This window comes from Homo sapiens, chromosome X, assembly GCF_000001405.40.
Source record: "Homo sapiens chromosome X, GRCh38.p14 Primary Assembly".
NCBI classification, from domain to species: Eukaryota; Metazoa; Chordata; class Mammalia; order Primates; family Hominidae; genus Homo; species Homo sapiens.
This window is the reverse complement of record NC_000023.11, coordinates 62870783-62886174: the sequence shown is the minus strand read 5'-3', so window position 1 is coordinate 62886174 and position 15392 is coordinate 62870783. Positions and strand designations below refer to the sequence as shown.

The 15392-nt window shown below is 37.0% G+C and overlaps 1 pseudogene; it reads left to right on the top strand.

The window, feature by feature from the left end:
• ZFRP1 (zinc finger RNA binding protein pseudogene 1) lies at positions 1204–2076 on the top strand (annotated as a pseudogene).

Below are 15392 nucleotides of genomic sequence, written 5' to 3'. Positions count from 1 at the left end.
CATAAATAGCAATAATAACCTTGAATGTAACTGGATTAGATTTTTTAATTAAAAGTATAGACTCAGTGAATAGATAAAAAAAAGACTCAAGTATCTGCTGACTACAGGGAGTCACCTCATTGCTTTTTGTTGTTTGTTTTTGTTGTTTTCTGTTTAGTTTTGCTTTTTTTTTTTGAGACAGAGTCTTACTCTGTCATCCAGGCTGGAGTGCAGTGGCACAGTCTCAGCTCACTGCAACCTCTGCCTCACGGGTTCTAGCGATTCTTGTGCCTCAGCCTCCCATGTACCTGGGATTACAGGCACCCACCACTGCACATGGCTGATCTTTGTATTTTTAGTAGAGATGGGATTTCACCATGTTGGCCAGGCTGTTCTCAAACTCGTGACCTCAGGTGATCCACCGCCTCAGCCTCCCAAAGTGCTGGGATTACAAGCATGAGCCACCTTACCATTAAACACAAACAGACTAAAAGCGAAGTGATGAAAAAAAATTTATGCAAATGGAAACCAAAAGTGATCAGGAGTAACCGTTCTTATATCAGATAAAATATACTTTATATCAAATACTTTTAAAAGCGACAATGTAGGTAATTTTATAATGATAAGGTGATTAATTCAGCAAGAGGATATAGCAACCATAAATATATATGAACCCAACATTACAGTACTCAAGTATATTAATACAATATTATGGAATTTAAACAGAGTAATAGACTGCAATACAATAATACCAAGATATGTCAACACCCCACTTTCAACAATATATAGATCATCTCGACAGAAAATCAACACAGAAACATCAGACATAAACTATGTAATAGACCAAATGTACCTAACAGACGTGTGAACATTTCATGCAACAGGTGCAGAATATACATTCTTCTCAACTGCTCTGGGGTAGCTAATATGTTAGCCCACCAAATGGGTGTTGATAAATTTGAGGACAGAGACTAATCAAGTGTAATTGAGGAGATAGAGATTAATCAACTGTCATTTCAGACTTACAATGGTAAAAAACTAGAAACGTAAAACAATAATAATTTTGGATAACTTACACATACATGGAAAGCCAATAGGACACAGTAAAAGAAGTTCTGAGAAGAAAGTTCATGGCAATGAGTGGACAGATTAAAAATGAAGAAAGATTTCTAATAAACAATGTAACCATGTACCCCGACAAGGTTTAAAAAAAGAAAAGAAAAAAGGAGCAGGGCAGATAAATGAGGCAGCAGATTAGTCAGAATTCAGAAGCATCACCTGGAAAACATGATTCCCATATGCTCTGTCGTTTCTTTCACCTATGTGCCCAGCTGGCTAGGGCAAGATACCAAAATGGTGACTGGCAACTGCTTTTGATTCACTCACAGTTGGGTGGCAGCAGGAGTCATTGTGGCTTAGTGTAGGCAGCAGCCAGATTCAAGCATAGCCTATTTTCATCCAACTACAGTTGGTAGCTACACAGTCCATCAGGCTCCAGTAGCTTCTCAGTTACTATTGCCTATGCACCAGCATTTGCCACAGTTGCAGTTACCAGGCCTGCAGTTGCTGCTGCACCAACTGCTGCTTATGAAAGCTACCCCACTGCACACACAGCAACTGATCATGGTTATACTCAGGGGCAACAAGAAGAACCACCCACCTGCCGCTACTACACAAAACTACCAGGACTCATACTCATATGTGAGATCCACAACTCCTGATAGCTTATGATAGTAAGCACTACCACCAACAACTAACAGAAACTGCTGCTGGTATAGCTGCCAATCACTAACCTTGGCCTTCTGTAGCTGAAGCTTACTATCAGACTGCTCTTAAATCCCAGGCACAACTCAGTATACTCAAGCCCAGCAAACTCGACAAGTGACAGCTATAAAATAAGTCACAGCAAGTTCAGCTGTCGCAACTTTATTTATCCTATATCCTCCACTGTACATCCAGTAGCAGCTGCAGCTGCTGTTGTGCCATCCTATACTCAGAGTGCTACTTGCAGTACCACAGCAGTTATTTATCCTGGTAAATTTTATTCAGTTTATGAAGCAGCAGTGTATTCAGCTGCATCTTTCTACAATTAACAGCTGCTTGAACAGGAACTATCTTTACTAAAGAAGCACAATTCGAAAATACAAAATAAACAACTGAAGCTAAAACAGCCTCCCAAGCCACCAAAGATTCACAATCTTGATGTTTGTAACACCACCTGTGCCATACCACAGACTTGTAAGCCACAGTCAGAAGGACAGAAACAATTACAAGTTGTTGCTTCTGCTGGTGTTTTGTGAGGCTGCAAAGAAACCCTCACAAAATATCAGCAGAAGCAACAACTCTACTCATGGGACTCAAAATCAGCTACACTGTAAGCTCCTCAATGTGTCTTGTACTGGAGCAGATGCAACAGAACCAAATGTTACTAGCCAAGCTACTTTTCCAACAGCTGTGTCTGCTTCAAAATCAACTACCAATCCTTTAAGCAATTGTACTGTGAATACTTCATCAATTGCAACTTCTTCAGTGAAGAGTCTTGTGACTACAGGAAATTCGTCTCTTAACAGCACATCGAAGACTAAAGTGTCAGCATTGCCCACAAATATGGCTGCCAAAAAATATCTACCCCAAAATCAATTTCATTGGTAATAATAAGCCACAATCATCATGAAATAAAACACAGTACTTAGAAGGAACTGCATCTGTTAAAAGTATTCTTTTTATTTCTATGGTGCAGATTCCTGAAGTAAATCAAGAGACAGTGTGAGAAAAAAAATCAAACCTGTATATTTTGCTGCTTTCCAGAATGATGCGCAGCCAGTGGGTCATGATTACCTGGAGGAGGTTTAAAATGAAGAAGGAAAGGTAGTTCACTTCCATTGTAAATCATGCAAGTGAAGCTTTAATAATCCCAATGTTAAGGAGATTCACTTAAAAGGGTGAAGACACATACTTCAAAATAGAAAAAAGAAAAATTTAGATTTGCAAGTAGAAGTAAAGCCTAGTATTTTTGAAAGAAAGATTGAATAAGAGAAAATGCAAAAGCAAATGCAGAAGGACTACTGATGAAGGCAAGAGGAGCAACGCTGGAGTATGGTAATGCAATGTTATGAAAAGTGCATGTTCTGGAGGAAGAACAGCATCATTGAGATGATAACCACCAAATGCCTGTTGGAGAATATCCTCATGATCTCTGGTCCCAGACTCCTGGGAGTGTGACCAGGCATTACTCCTCAGCTACAGGGGCCTGCACGCTTACAACATCCTGACTCATCTGATGACTTCTATGTAATGAGAAAATATGCAATGATTTATCTAGTTGAAAAGAAGTAACAGGAAGTTCAGAAAATTGTTTCTATTACTGAATGTACTTTAAAATTTATTTCAGGCACTTTCTCTGAACATGAGAAGAGCAAGAGCAAAGAAGAAGGTCATAAGAAAGAGAGAGGTAAAGAGAGTTTTAAAAGAAGTTATGCAAGTGGAAGTTTTGACAAGAGAGTTACTTCTCCAAGGACAACCTTGTTTTTCTGCATTCAGGGAAACCTTCAAAGATATTATTAAGACATATTGCAGAAAACCTATCCACTTTTATTTAACTGAGCAGTGGTTTGTACTTCTCCTTGAAGAGGTGCTTCACGTCCCTTGTAAGTTGGATTCCTAGGTATTTCAGTCTCTTTGAAGGAATTGGGAATGGGAGTTCACTCATGATTTGGCTCTCTGTTTGTCTGTTATTGGTGTATAAGAATGCTTGTGATTTTTGTACATTGATTTTGTATCCTGAGACTTTGCTGAAGTTGCTTATCAGCTTAAGGAGATTTTGGGCTGAGATGATGGGGTTTTCTAGATATACAATCATGTCATCTGCAAACAGGGACAATTTGACTTCCTCTTTCCCTAATTGAATACCTTTTATTTCCTTCTCCTGCTTAATTGCCCTGGCCAGAACTTCCAACACTATGTTGAATAGGAGTGGTGAGAGAGGGAATCACTGTCTTGTGCCAGTTTTCAAAGGGAATGCTTCCAGTTTTTGCCCATTCAGTATGATATTGGCTGTGGGTTTGTCATAGATAGCTCTTATTATTTTGAGATATGTCCCATCAATACCTAATTTATTGAGAGTTTTTAGCATGAAGGGTTGTTGAATTTTGTCAAAGGCCTTTTCTGTATCTATTGAGATAATCATGTGGTTATTGTCTTTGGTTCTGTTTATATGCTGGATTACCTTTATTGATTTGTGTATATTGAACCAGCCTTGCATCCCAGGGATGAAGCCCACTTGATCATGGTGGATAAGCTTTTTGATGTGCTGCTGGATTCGGTTTGCCAGTATTTTAATGAGGATTTTTGCATCAATGTTCATCAAGGATATTGGTCTAAAATTCTCTTTTTTTGTTGTGTCTCTGCCCGGCTTTGGTATCAGGATGATGCTGACCTCATAAAATGAGTTAGGGAGGATTCCCTCTTTTTCTATTGATTGGAATAGTTTCAGAAGGAATGGTACCAGTTTCTGCTTGTACCTCTGGTAGGATTCGGCTGTGAATCCATCTGGTCCTGGACTCTTTTTGGTTGGTAAGCTATTGATTATTGTGACAATTTCAGAGCCTGTTATTGGTCTATTCAGAGAGTCAACTTCTTCCTGGTTTAGTCTTGGGAGGGTGTATGTGTCAAGGAATTTATCCATTTCTTCTAGGTTGTCTAGTTTATTTGCATAGACGTGTTTGTAGTATTCTCTGATGGTATTTTGTATTTCTGTGGGATTGGTGGTGATATCCCCTTTATCATTTTTTATTGCGTCTATTTGATTCTTCTCTCTTTTCTTCTTCATTAGTCTTGCTAGCCGTCCATCAATTTTGTTGACCCTTTCAAAAAACCAGCTCCTGGATTCATTAATTTTTGAAGGGTTTTTTGTGTTTCTATTTCCTTCAGTTCTGCTCTGATTTTAGTTATTTCAGAGGATACAAACAAACGGAAGAACATTCCATGCTCATGGATAGGAAGAATCAATATCGTGAAAATGGCCATACTGCCCGAGGTAATTTATAGATTCAATACCATCCCCATCAAGCTACCAATGACTTTCTTCACAGAATTGGAAAAAACTGCTTTAAAGTTCATATGGAACCAAAAAAGAGCCCGCATCACCAAGTCAATCCTAAGCAAAAAGAACAAAGCTGGAGGTATCACACTACCTGACTTCAAACTATACTACAAGGCTACAGTAACCAAAACAGCATGGTACTGGTACCAAAACAGAGATATAGATCAATGGAACAGAACAGAGCCCTCAGAAATAATGCCGCATATCTACAACTATCTGATCTTTGACAAACCTGACAAAAACAAGCAATGAGGAAAGGATTCCCTATTTAATAAATGGTGCTGGGAAAACTGGCTAGCCATATATAGAAAGCTGAAACTAGATCTCTTCCTTACACCTTATACAAAAATTAATTCAAGATGGATTAAAGACTTAAACGTTAGACCTAAAACCATAAAAAACCCTGGAAGAAAACCTAGGCATTACCATTCAGGACATAGGCATGGGCAAGGACTTCATGTCTAAAACACCAAGAGCAATGGCAACAAAAGCCAAAATTGACAAATGGGATCTAATTGAACTAAAGAGCTTCTGCACAGCAAAAGAAACTACCATCAGAGTGAACAGGCAACCTACAAAATGGGAGAAAATTTTTGCAATCTACTCATCTGACAAAGGGCTGATATCCAGAATCTACAATGAACTCAAACAAATTTACAAGAAAAAAACAAACAAGCCCATCAAAAACTGGGCAAAGGATATGAACAGACACTTCTCAAAAGAAGACATTTATGCAGCCAAAAGACACATGAAAAAATGCTCATCATCACTGGCCATCAGAGAAATGCAAATCAAAACCACAGTGAGATACCATCTCACGCCAGTTAGAATGGCGATCATTAAAAAGTCAGGAAACAACAGGTGCTGGAGAGGATGTGGAGATATAGGAACTGTTGGTGGTACTGTAAACTAGTTCAACCATTGTGGAAGTCAGTGTGGCGATTCCTCAGGGATCTAGAACTAGAAATACCATTTGACCCAGCCATCCCATTACTGGATATATACCCAAAGGACTAAAAATCATGCTGCTATAAAGACACATGCACACGTATGTTTATTGCGGCATTATTCACTATAGCGAAGACTTGGAACCAACCCAAATGTCCAACAATGATAGACTGGATTAAGAAAATGTGGCACATATACACCATGGAATTCTATGGAGCCATAAAAAATGATGAGTTCGTGTCCTTTGTAGGGACATAGATGAAACTGGAAATCATCATTCTCAGTAAACTATCGCAAGAACAAAAAACCAAACACCACATATTCTCACTCATAGGTGGGAATTGAACAATGGGAACACATGGACACAGAAAGGAGGACATCACACTCTGGGGACTGTTGGGGGGTGGGGGGAGGGGGGAGAGATAGCTTTAGGAGATATACCTAATGCTAAATGACGAGTTAATGGGTGCAGCACACCAGCATGGCACATGTATATATATGTAACTAACCTGCACATTATGCACATGTACCCTAAAACTTAAAGTATAATAATAATAAAATAAAATAAAAAAACCTTCATAAAAAAAAGAAAACCTATCCAAACAGCTTGCTGTTTTAAACATTGAGAAGTATGAAATAAGATGTGCTGTATCTGAAGTGGTAATAATTTTGAATTCATGCGTGGAACCCAAAATGCAAGCCACTGTCACTCCTATCATCTCCAATTATTCAAGAAGATAGCATGGAGAAAAGAGATCTAACTTCACGTATGGTGAAAGACCTACCCGATGTCTTGGACAGGTAAAAATGCCTTTATGCTCTGGTTGCTCTATGCCATGCTAAGTGATTCCAAGGTAGAACGAATAGTCTGCAGTACTCTGTGATTATCATACGTATTCTTCAAGAATTCTGTAAGCAGGAATTCCAACTTGGTGTAATTTTCCAAGCTGAGCTATAGAGTTATTAGCAGAGAAAGCAATCAGCTAATCCTTGGATCCCTGCGCAGATGCAGTGAGAAGAGTTTTCAAGTACATTTAATCAGTGGTTATTATTAGAAGTAGTCCTGGATTTCTGGAACCTTGTAAAAAGAATTACGTGGATGCCTTGGCAACAATGACAGACCAGTAGTGAGAGAACATCACATCCAGTGCAGTTTGCATTGAGCCTCCTTGTATTCCTCCAGATCCACGAAGATTTAGGCATGGACCCATTACCCCAAATGAGCAAAAATGTTAACATCCACAATAGGAAACATAGAAGGGATAGTGATAGATTTGATAAATTTGAAGCTGAGGGGGGAAAAATATAAAAAAAGATTATGATAACTTGTAAAGAGTTTCATTAAAGCATCAGTGTTAAAAACAACAGATGCCCATTGTTGGCTGTTTTTCATTCATAAAAATGTGTACTTGAAAACAATCATCAAGAATTTAAAGAATTTCATGAAATGACCAAGTTTTTTTATGACACATAAAAAATATACAGTTAGGTGTTATATGGACGGAAAAACAAAATGAATTGTGTGCTCTGACTAGGAGGCAAACAGTGGTTCAACTTTGTTCAAATTATTATTGTTTTTTATTTTACTTTAAGTTCTGGGCTACATGTGCAGAATGTACAGGTTTGTTACATAGATATACATGTACCATGGTGGTTTGCTGATTTAATTTTTTGGTTTCTGTAACCACTCCTCCCATTTTTGTATCTTTTATTAACTAGTGAACTCTCTTATTAAATTTTTCATATATTTGATGCAGAATTTGTGCATCGTTTCTCTCTGTGTATTTTGACTTTTTTATTTGAAAGTTTTGCTTGCTTTTAGGCAGTAGTTGTAAGTTTGTTACAGATTATATTTCTTACCCTTTCTTAGTATTTTACAACAGTACTTTCTTGTAATGTGAAACTGCAGCATAATAAAAGCCATATATGAAAGACATAAAGCTAATATCATAATAAATGGGGAAAACTGAAAACCGTTTCTCTGAGATTTAGAACATAAAAAGAATGCTCACCTCCACCACTGTTATTCAACATAGTACTGGAATTCCTAGCTACAGCAATAAGACAAAAGAAAGAAATAAAAGGTACCGAAATTGAAAAGGAAGAAGTCAAAGTATTATTGTCTGCAAATGATATGATCTTACATTTGGAAAAACCTAAAGACTCCACCAAAAACTATTAGAACTGATAAACAAATTTAGTAAAGTTGCTGGATGCAAAGTCAACAGACAAAGATCAGTAGCATCTCTATATGCAAGCAGCAAAAAATTACAGAAAACATCAGTAAATTAAAATTGATTAACAAAGAAGTGAAAATTCTTTATAATAACTATAAAACATTGATGAAAGAAATTTAAGAGTACAAAAATATGAAAATATATTCAATGTTCATGGACTAGAAGAATCAATACTTTTAAAATGTTCATACTGTTAAAAGCAATCTGCATATTCAATGGAATTTACATAAAATACCAATTACATTCTCAACAAAAATAGAAAAAACAATACTAAAACATATTGAATCACAAAGCACTCAGAATAGCCAAAGCTATTCTGAACAAAAAACAAAAAGCATACTACTGGCATAAAAACAGTCACCAATAAACCAGTTGAACAGAATAGAGAAGCTAGAAACAAATCCATATATTTATGGTGAATGCATTTTCAACAAAGTGCCAAAAAGATACATTAGGGAAAGGAGAGTCTCTCAATAAATGCTGCTGGGAAAACTGTAAATTCACATGCAAAATAAATAAATAAAAAAATAAAATTAGAAACTTATTTCACCCATTTTTAGGAAAATATCTAATAATATAATTAAAGCATGGGCAAATGATCTGAACAGATATTTCTCAAAAGACATGAACATGGTAAATAAGTATCTGAAAAGGTGCTCAGTATAACTAATCATCAGAGAAATGCAAATCAAAACTATGATGGGATATCATCTCACTCCAGTTAAAATGGTTTTATCCAAAAGGCAGGAAATAACAAATAATTATGAAGATAGGGAGAAAAGGAACTTTTGTACATTGTTTTCCTACAGACAAATTACATTTGGGAATGTAAATCTCCAAAATGGAGAACTGTTTGAAAGTTTCTCAAAATATTAAAAATAGAGCTACCATATGATCCAGCAATTCAACTTCTAAGTATATAACCAAAAGAAAGAAAATCAGTATATCAAAGAGATCTCTGCACCCCCATGTTGGTTGCAGCACTATTCCAAAAGCCAAGATTTGGAAGCAATCTAAGTGTTCATCATTAGGTGAATCTATTAAGAAAATATATATAGACATGATGGAGTACTATTCAGCCATAAAAACAATATCTTGACATTTCAACAATATAGATTGAACTAGTAGTCTTTTGTTTCTAAGTCCTGGGGTACGTGTGCAGGATGTGCATGCTTGTTACACAGGTAAATGTGATCTATGGTGGTTTTATGCACCTATCAACCCACTACCTAGGTATTAAGCCTGGCATGCATTAGCTGTTTTTCCTAATGCTCTCCTCCTCTTGTCCTAACCCAGCAGGCCCCAGTGTGTTGTTCCCTCCCTGTGTCCATGTGTTCTCATTGTCCAGCTCCCACTTATACGTGAGAAAATGTGGTTTGATTTTCTGTTGCTGCATTAGTTTGCTGAGGATAATGGCTTCTAGCTTCATCCATGTCCCTGCAAAGGAAACGATCTCATTCTTTTTTATGGCTGCATAGTATTCCATGGTGTATATGTACCACATTTTCCTTACCCAGTCTATCACTGATGGTCATTTGAGTTGATTCCATGTCTTTACTATTGTGAATAGTGCTGCAATAAACACACATGTGCATGTTCTTTAGAATAGAATGATTTGCATTTGGGTGTTGTATACCCAGTAATTGAATTGGTGGATTGAATGGTATTTCTGGTTCTAAGAGTTTCAGGAATCACCACACTGTCTTCCACAATGGTCAAACTAATTTACATTCCCACCAAAAGTGTAAAAGTGTTCCTATTCCTGTGCAACCTTGCCAACATCTTTTTTTTTTTTTTGACTTTTTAATAATCACCATTCTGACTGGTGTGAGTTGATATCTCACTGAGGTTTTGACTTGCATTTTCCTAATAATCACACCAACAATAGACAAGCAGAGAGCCAAATTATTAATGAATTCCCATTCACAATTGCCACAAAGAGAATAAAATACCTAGGAATAGAGCTAAAAAGGGAGATGAAGGACCTCTTCAAGGGGAACTACAAACCACTGCTCAAAAAAGTCAGAGAGGACACTAACAGATGCAAAAACGTTCCATGTTCTTGGATAGGAAGAATCAATTCTATAAAAATGGTTATAGTGCCCAAAGAAATGTATAAATTCGACGATGTTTTTAATAAACTACCATTGACATCTTTACAGAATTCAAAAAAAAAAAAACTATTTTAAAATTTTTGTGGAACCAAAAAAGAGCGTGTAGAGGCAGGACAATCCTAAGCAAAAAGAACAAAGCTGGAGGCTTCACACTACCTTCCTTGAAACTATACTATAAAGCTACAATAACAAAAACAGCATAGCACTGGTACAGAAACAGGCACATAGACCAATGGAACAGAATAGGGAACTCAGAATAAAACCACACATCTAAAACCATCTAGCTAGTCATATCCAGTATTTTTTGGTTTGCCCTTTTTATTGTCCTTCAGCAGCTCATATATATTACCTAATTCCCTCCTGAATTTGTAAGATTTATGCTGAGAAGTCTGCTTCCAGGCATATTGAAATTCTCTTACATGTTTTTTACTTCTTTTCTATTTTTGTTTTAATCCTCTCTCTGTCTTTGAAATTGGATAGTTCGATTGTAACATGTCTTCATATGGTCCTATTTAGATTGATTGTGAGTGATTGCTTTTAAGCTTCCTGTATCTGGGTATTTATATTATTCCTTATGCTTGGAAAGTTTTCTTGTATTATTTATTTAAGTAATTTACTATTATCTTGTGTTTCTCTAGTCTCTTTTGAACTTTATGAACCCACAAATTTTCTCTTCTGATATTATTTCATAATGTTTTTTATTTATTAATTTTTTAATTTTTTTCTTCTCTGCATATTTTTTACTAATCTGACTTTGAGCTCACTAATTTTTTCTTCAGCTTAATTCTGCTGTTGATGCACTCTGTTGAACTTTTTATTTTTTTCATTGTATTTTCTCACTCTAGGATTTCTGTTTGATTATGTTTAATTATTTCAAACTCTTAAATTTGTCTTCCAATTTTTTGAATTATTTTTCTGTATTTTATTGAATTTTATTGAGCTTCCTTAAAAGAGTGATTTTTATTCTTTGTTAGGTCAGTCATACATCTTCATTTGTTTAGGTTTGGTAACTGGCACTGTATTTGGTTTGTTTTGAGACCTCGTATTTCCCTGATCATTGTGATCTTTGTGCATGTATGTTGATTTCTGCACATTGAAGACATGGGTATTTATTCCAGTCTTGGGAGTTTGTCATTGTCTATGATAGCACTTCTACAGTATGCCTGTTCAGAAATTCTGAGAAAACTGTTGTGTCCCCCTAACCCATGATCACTGCAGCCATTGCAGTGCTAGAGGGAACCCTAAGTCCAGGTTTGCCATGGTTGATATAGCCCAGGTTGGAGTCCCATGAGCAACTAGTACGGGGTTGGGCAGGCTTGCTTTAATATCCTCAAACAGAAAGCTTTTACTAGATGTGCTGACTAGTGTGACTTCCTTTATGTCACTGGAAAAACTCCCATTGGATCACTAAATGGGTCCCTGTTATGGCTGAACTATTCACATCTGCAGCCCTAATGAGCTAGATCTGAGGCAACATTTATTTTTCAGGTCCATAACCAAAATTCAGGTCTTCTCCATAGTCATGGACAGTTTTCTCTATAGTCATGGACAGTTGTCTCCCAGTGAATTTCTGGGCAAGAAGGCCTTTTTCATACTATAGTCAAAAAGGGCTGGAACTAATTTATAGGGCCATTTTGAGATCCACAATGTGACTTAAGTCAACCCATCAGCCTGAATAGGCACTGATGGACATGCATTCACCTGGGACCTCAGGTAGAAAGAGCTCAGTCTACAGGCAGGAGGGGTCAGGACTGACATTATTGGCTATTTGAAAATCTACTGGTAGATGGAGTTTGGCCAATTTGCAACAGAAGCTCAAATAAGTACATCTTCAGTCAGTATTCTAGCTGGATAAGACTGCTCCAAATCCAAAGCCACAAGGGGTTTGAAGGGCTGAAATTGAGATTCTGGGATAATTCAGAATTTTCAGTGGAATCAAATTTGGCAAGTCCAACATGGTTGTACCTCTTTTCAAGACTCTCAGCAATTTTCCATGTCAGAAAAATTTGTGATTTGTGACATGGATAAACCAAGAGATAATGATGATAAGTTAAGTAAGCCAGGCACATAAAGAGAAATACCACAGGTTCTTATATGTGGAATCTAAAAATGTGGATATCCTAGAACTAGCGAGTAGAATGATGGTTACCAGGGGTGGGTAGGTGTGTGTGGTGCAGGGGTGTTTAAAAGATGTTTACCGAAATATACAAAAATTTCAGTTAGATAAGAGCAATATGATCAAAAGCTCTATTGTACAACACAGTGACTATAATTAATAACAACATACTGTATTCTTGAAAATTACTGAGGGAGTAAATTGTGTTTTTATCCCAAATGATAATATTTATGTGATATAATGCATACGTTAAGTAGCTAAATTTAGACATTCCACAGAGTATGAATAATTTAAAACATCTTGTTGTGGACAACAAACATATATAATTTTTATTTGTCAATTAAACAAAATAAATAAATAATGTTAAACCACTTATCAAGATACAGTTGACATACAAAAAGCTGTAAATATTTAATGCATACAACTTAATGCATTTGGAGATAAGTATGTTCTTGTGAAAATAGTGATTTAACAAAAATAAAATAAAGTATGTTTGATTATAAAAGAAAGCAGTTATATTGTAAAACAGTTACCAAAGTGTGCAAGTCTGGGTTCTCCAAGAAACAGGTGTCAAGAAAAAATTAAACGTGCCAGAGTTTGGCCAGTGGGAGCAAATGGTGAAGGAGCTGGGTGAGGCTGGGAAAAGTGTCAGACTTTAATGCAAGATAGGAAAAAGGAAGGAAGGAAGGAAAGAAGGAAGGAAGGAGGGAAGGTTGGTTGACTAGAAGCTCCTACTACTAAGCAGCCTAAAGAAAGGTTACCAAGGCCCCTGAGAGGCCTCAAGTCAAAGTTGCCTGTCAGAGGAGTGCCCTGATTCTCAGGAATGAGGCAGTCTTCGTATCTTTGCATTGCTTAGTTATTGGCTACTAGGAATCTCTTGTGAGATGGCCTGGCAAACACAGCATGAATGTCAACACAGCACCTGGCATTCTCTTTCAATAATATCCTGTAATTGGAGGTCTGCGAGCTGCAGTCTCATGGCCAGCACACAAATTAATAAAAAATGTTTGTGATGTAGCAACATACGTCCTTTGTACTAGCAGTTACTATTATTTTAATTGACACATAATAATTGTACATTAATATTAATTGAATAAATACTGATACTTCGATAAACACAATATATAATGATCAATCATGGAAATTAGCATATTCATCACCTCTGATGTTTATTATTGTTCTGATTGAAAACCTTTGAAACGCTCTCTGTTAGCTATTTGAAAATACATAATAAATTATTAACTATAGTCACCCTGAAGTGCTATGGAACATTAGAAATTATTCCTCCTATCAATCTTTAATTTTGAATCCTTGAACCAATCTCTCCCTGCTTTTTTTCTCTCCGACTTTTCCCACATTTTTGTAACTACTATTCTGCTTTCTACTTCTATGAGATCAACTTGTTAGCCTCCACAAATTAGAAGGAATATGCAGTATTCATCTTTCTGTTATTGGCTTGTTTCACTTCACATAATGTTCTCTAGGCTCATCCATGTTGCTGCAAATGACAGAATTTCATTTTTTTATGGATGAATAGAATCTCATTAAGTATATTTTCTCTATCAATTCATCCACTGAGAAACATTTAAGTTGATTCCGCATCTCAGCTATGGTAAATAATGCTGCAATAAATACAGAGCTGTATCTCCCTGATATACTGATATCATTTTCTTTGGATATATGCCCAATAGTGGAATTTCTGAATCATAAAGTAGATGTATTTCTAGTTTTTTGAAGCACTTCCATACTATTCTCCATAAGAGCAGTCCTGGTTTACATTCCTACCAAGAGAATGTTAGATTTTTTTTTCTTGGTATCCTCAACAGCATTTGTTACATTTTGTCTTCTTGGTATTAGTAGTAGCCATTCTAACTGGGGAGAGATTATATATATATATATAATTGTAATTTCAAGTTGCTTTTCCATGATGATCAGTAATGTTCTACATTTTTTTCATGTATTTCTTTCTTTGCTTTTTGTATATCTTCTTTTAAGATACATCTATTCAGGTCTTCTTTACACTTTTAATTAGACTATTTGTTTGTTTGTGTTTTTTGCTGTCAAGTGTTGAGTTTCTTATATATTCTGGATATGAATTCCCTGTCAGGTGAATAGTTTGCAAATATTTTTGTCCCTTCTATAAGTTGTATTTTTCACTGTGTTATTTCATTTCCTGTACAAAAGCTTTGCAGTTGATATAACCCTATTGTGTAGGCTGAATATTTGTCCCCTCCAAATCTCATCTTGAAATTTGATCTGCAATGTTGGAAGCGGGAAGTTTCGGAAAGTGTTTGGGCTATGGGATAGATACTTTACAAATGGCTTGATGTGGGGTGGAGACAAGATGGCCAAATATGAACAGCTCCAGTCTACAGCTCCCAGCATCAGTGATGCAGAAGACAGGTGGTTTCTGCACTTCCAACTGAGGTACCAGGTTCATCTCACTGGGGGTGTCAGACAGTGGTTGCAGTGCACTGAGCATGAGATGAAGCAGGGCGAGGCACCGCCTCACCCGGGAAGCACAAGGAGTCAGGGAATTCCCTTTCCTAGTCAAAGAAAGGGGTGACAGATGGCACCTGGAAAATCGGGTCACTCACACCCTAACACTGTGCTTTTCCAAAGTTCTTAGAAAATGGCACACCAGGAGATTATATCCCGCACATGGCTTGGAGGGCCCTATGCCCATGGAGCCTCGCTTATTGCTAGCACAGCAGTCTGAGATCAAACTGCAAGGGGTCAGCAAGGCTGGGGGATGGGCGCCTGCCATTGCCAAGGCTTGAGTAGGTAAACAAAGTGGCTAGGAAGCTCGAACTGGGTGGAGCCCACTGCAGTTCAAGGAGGCCTGCCTGCTTCTGTAGACTCCACCTCTGGGGGCAGGGCATAGCCAAACAAAAGGC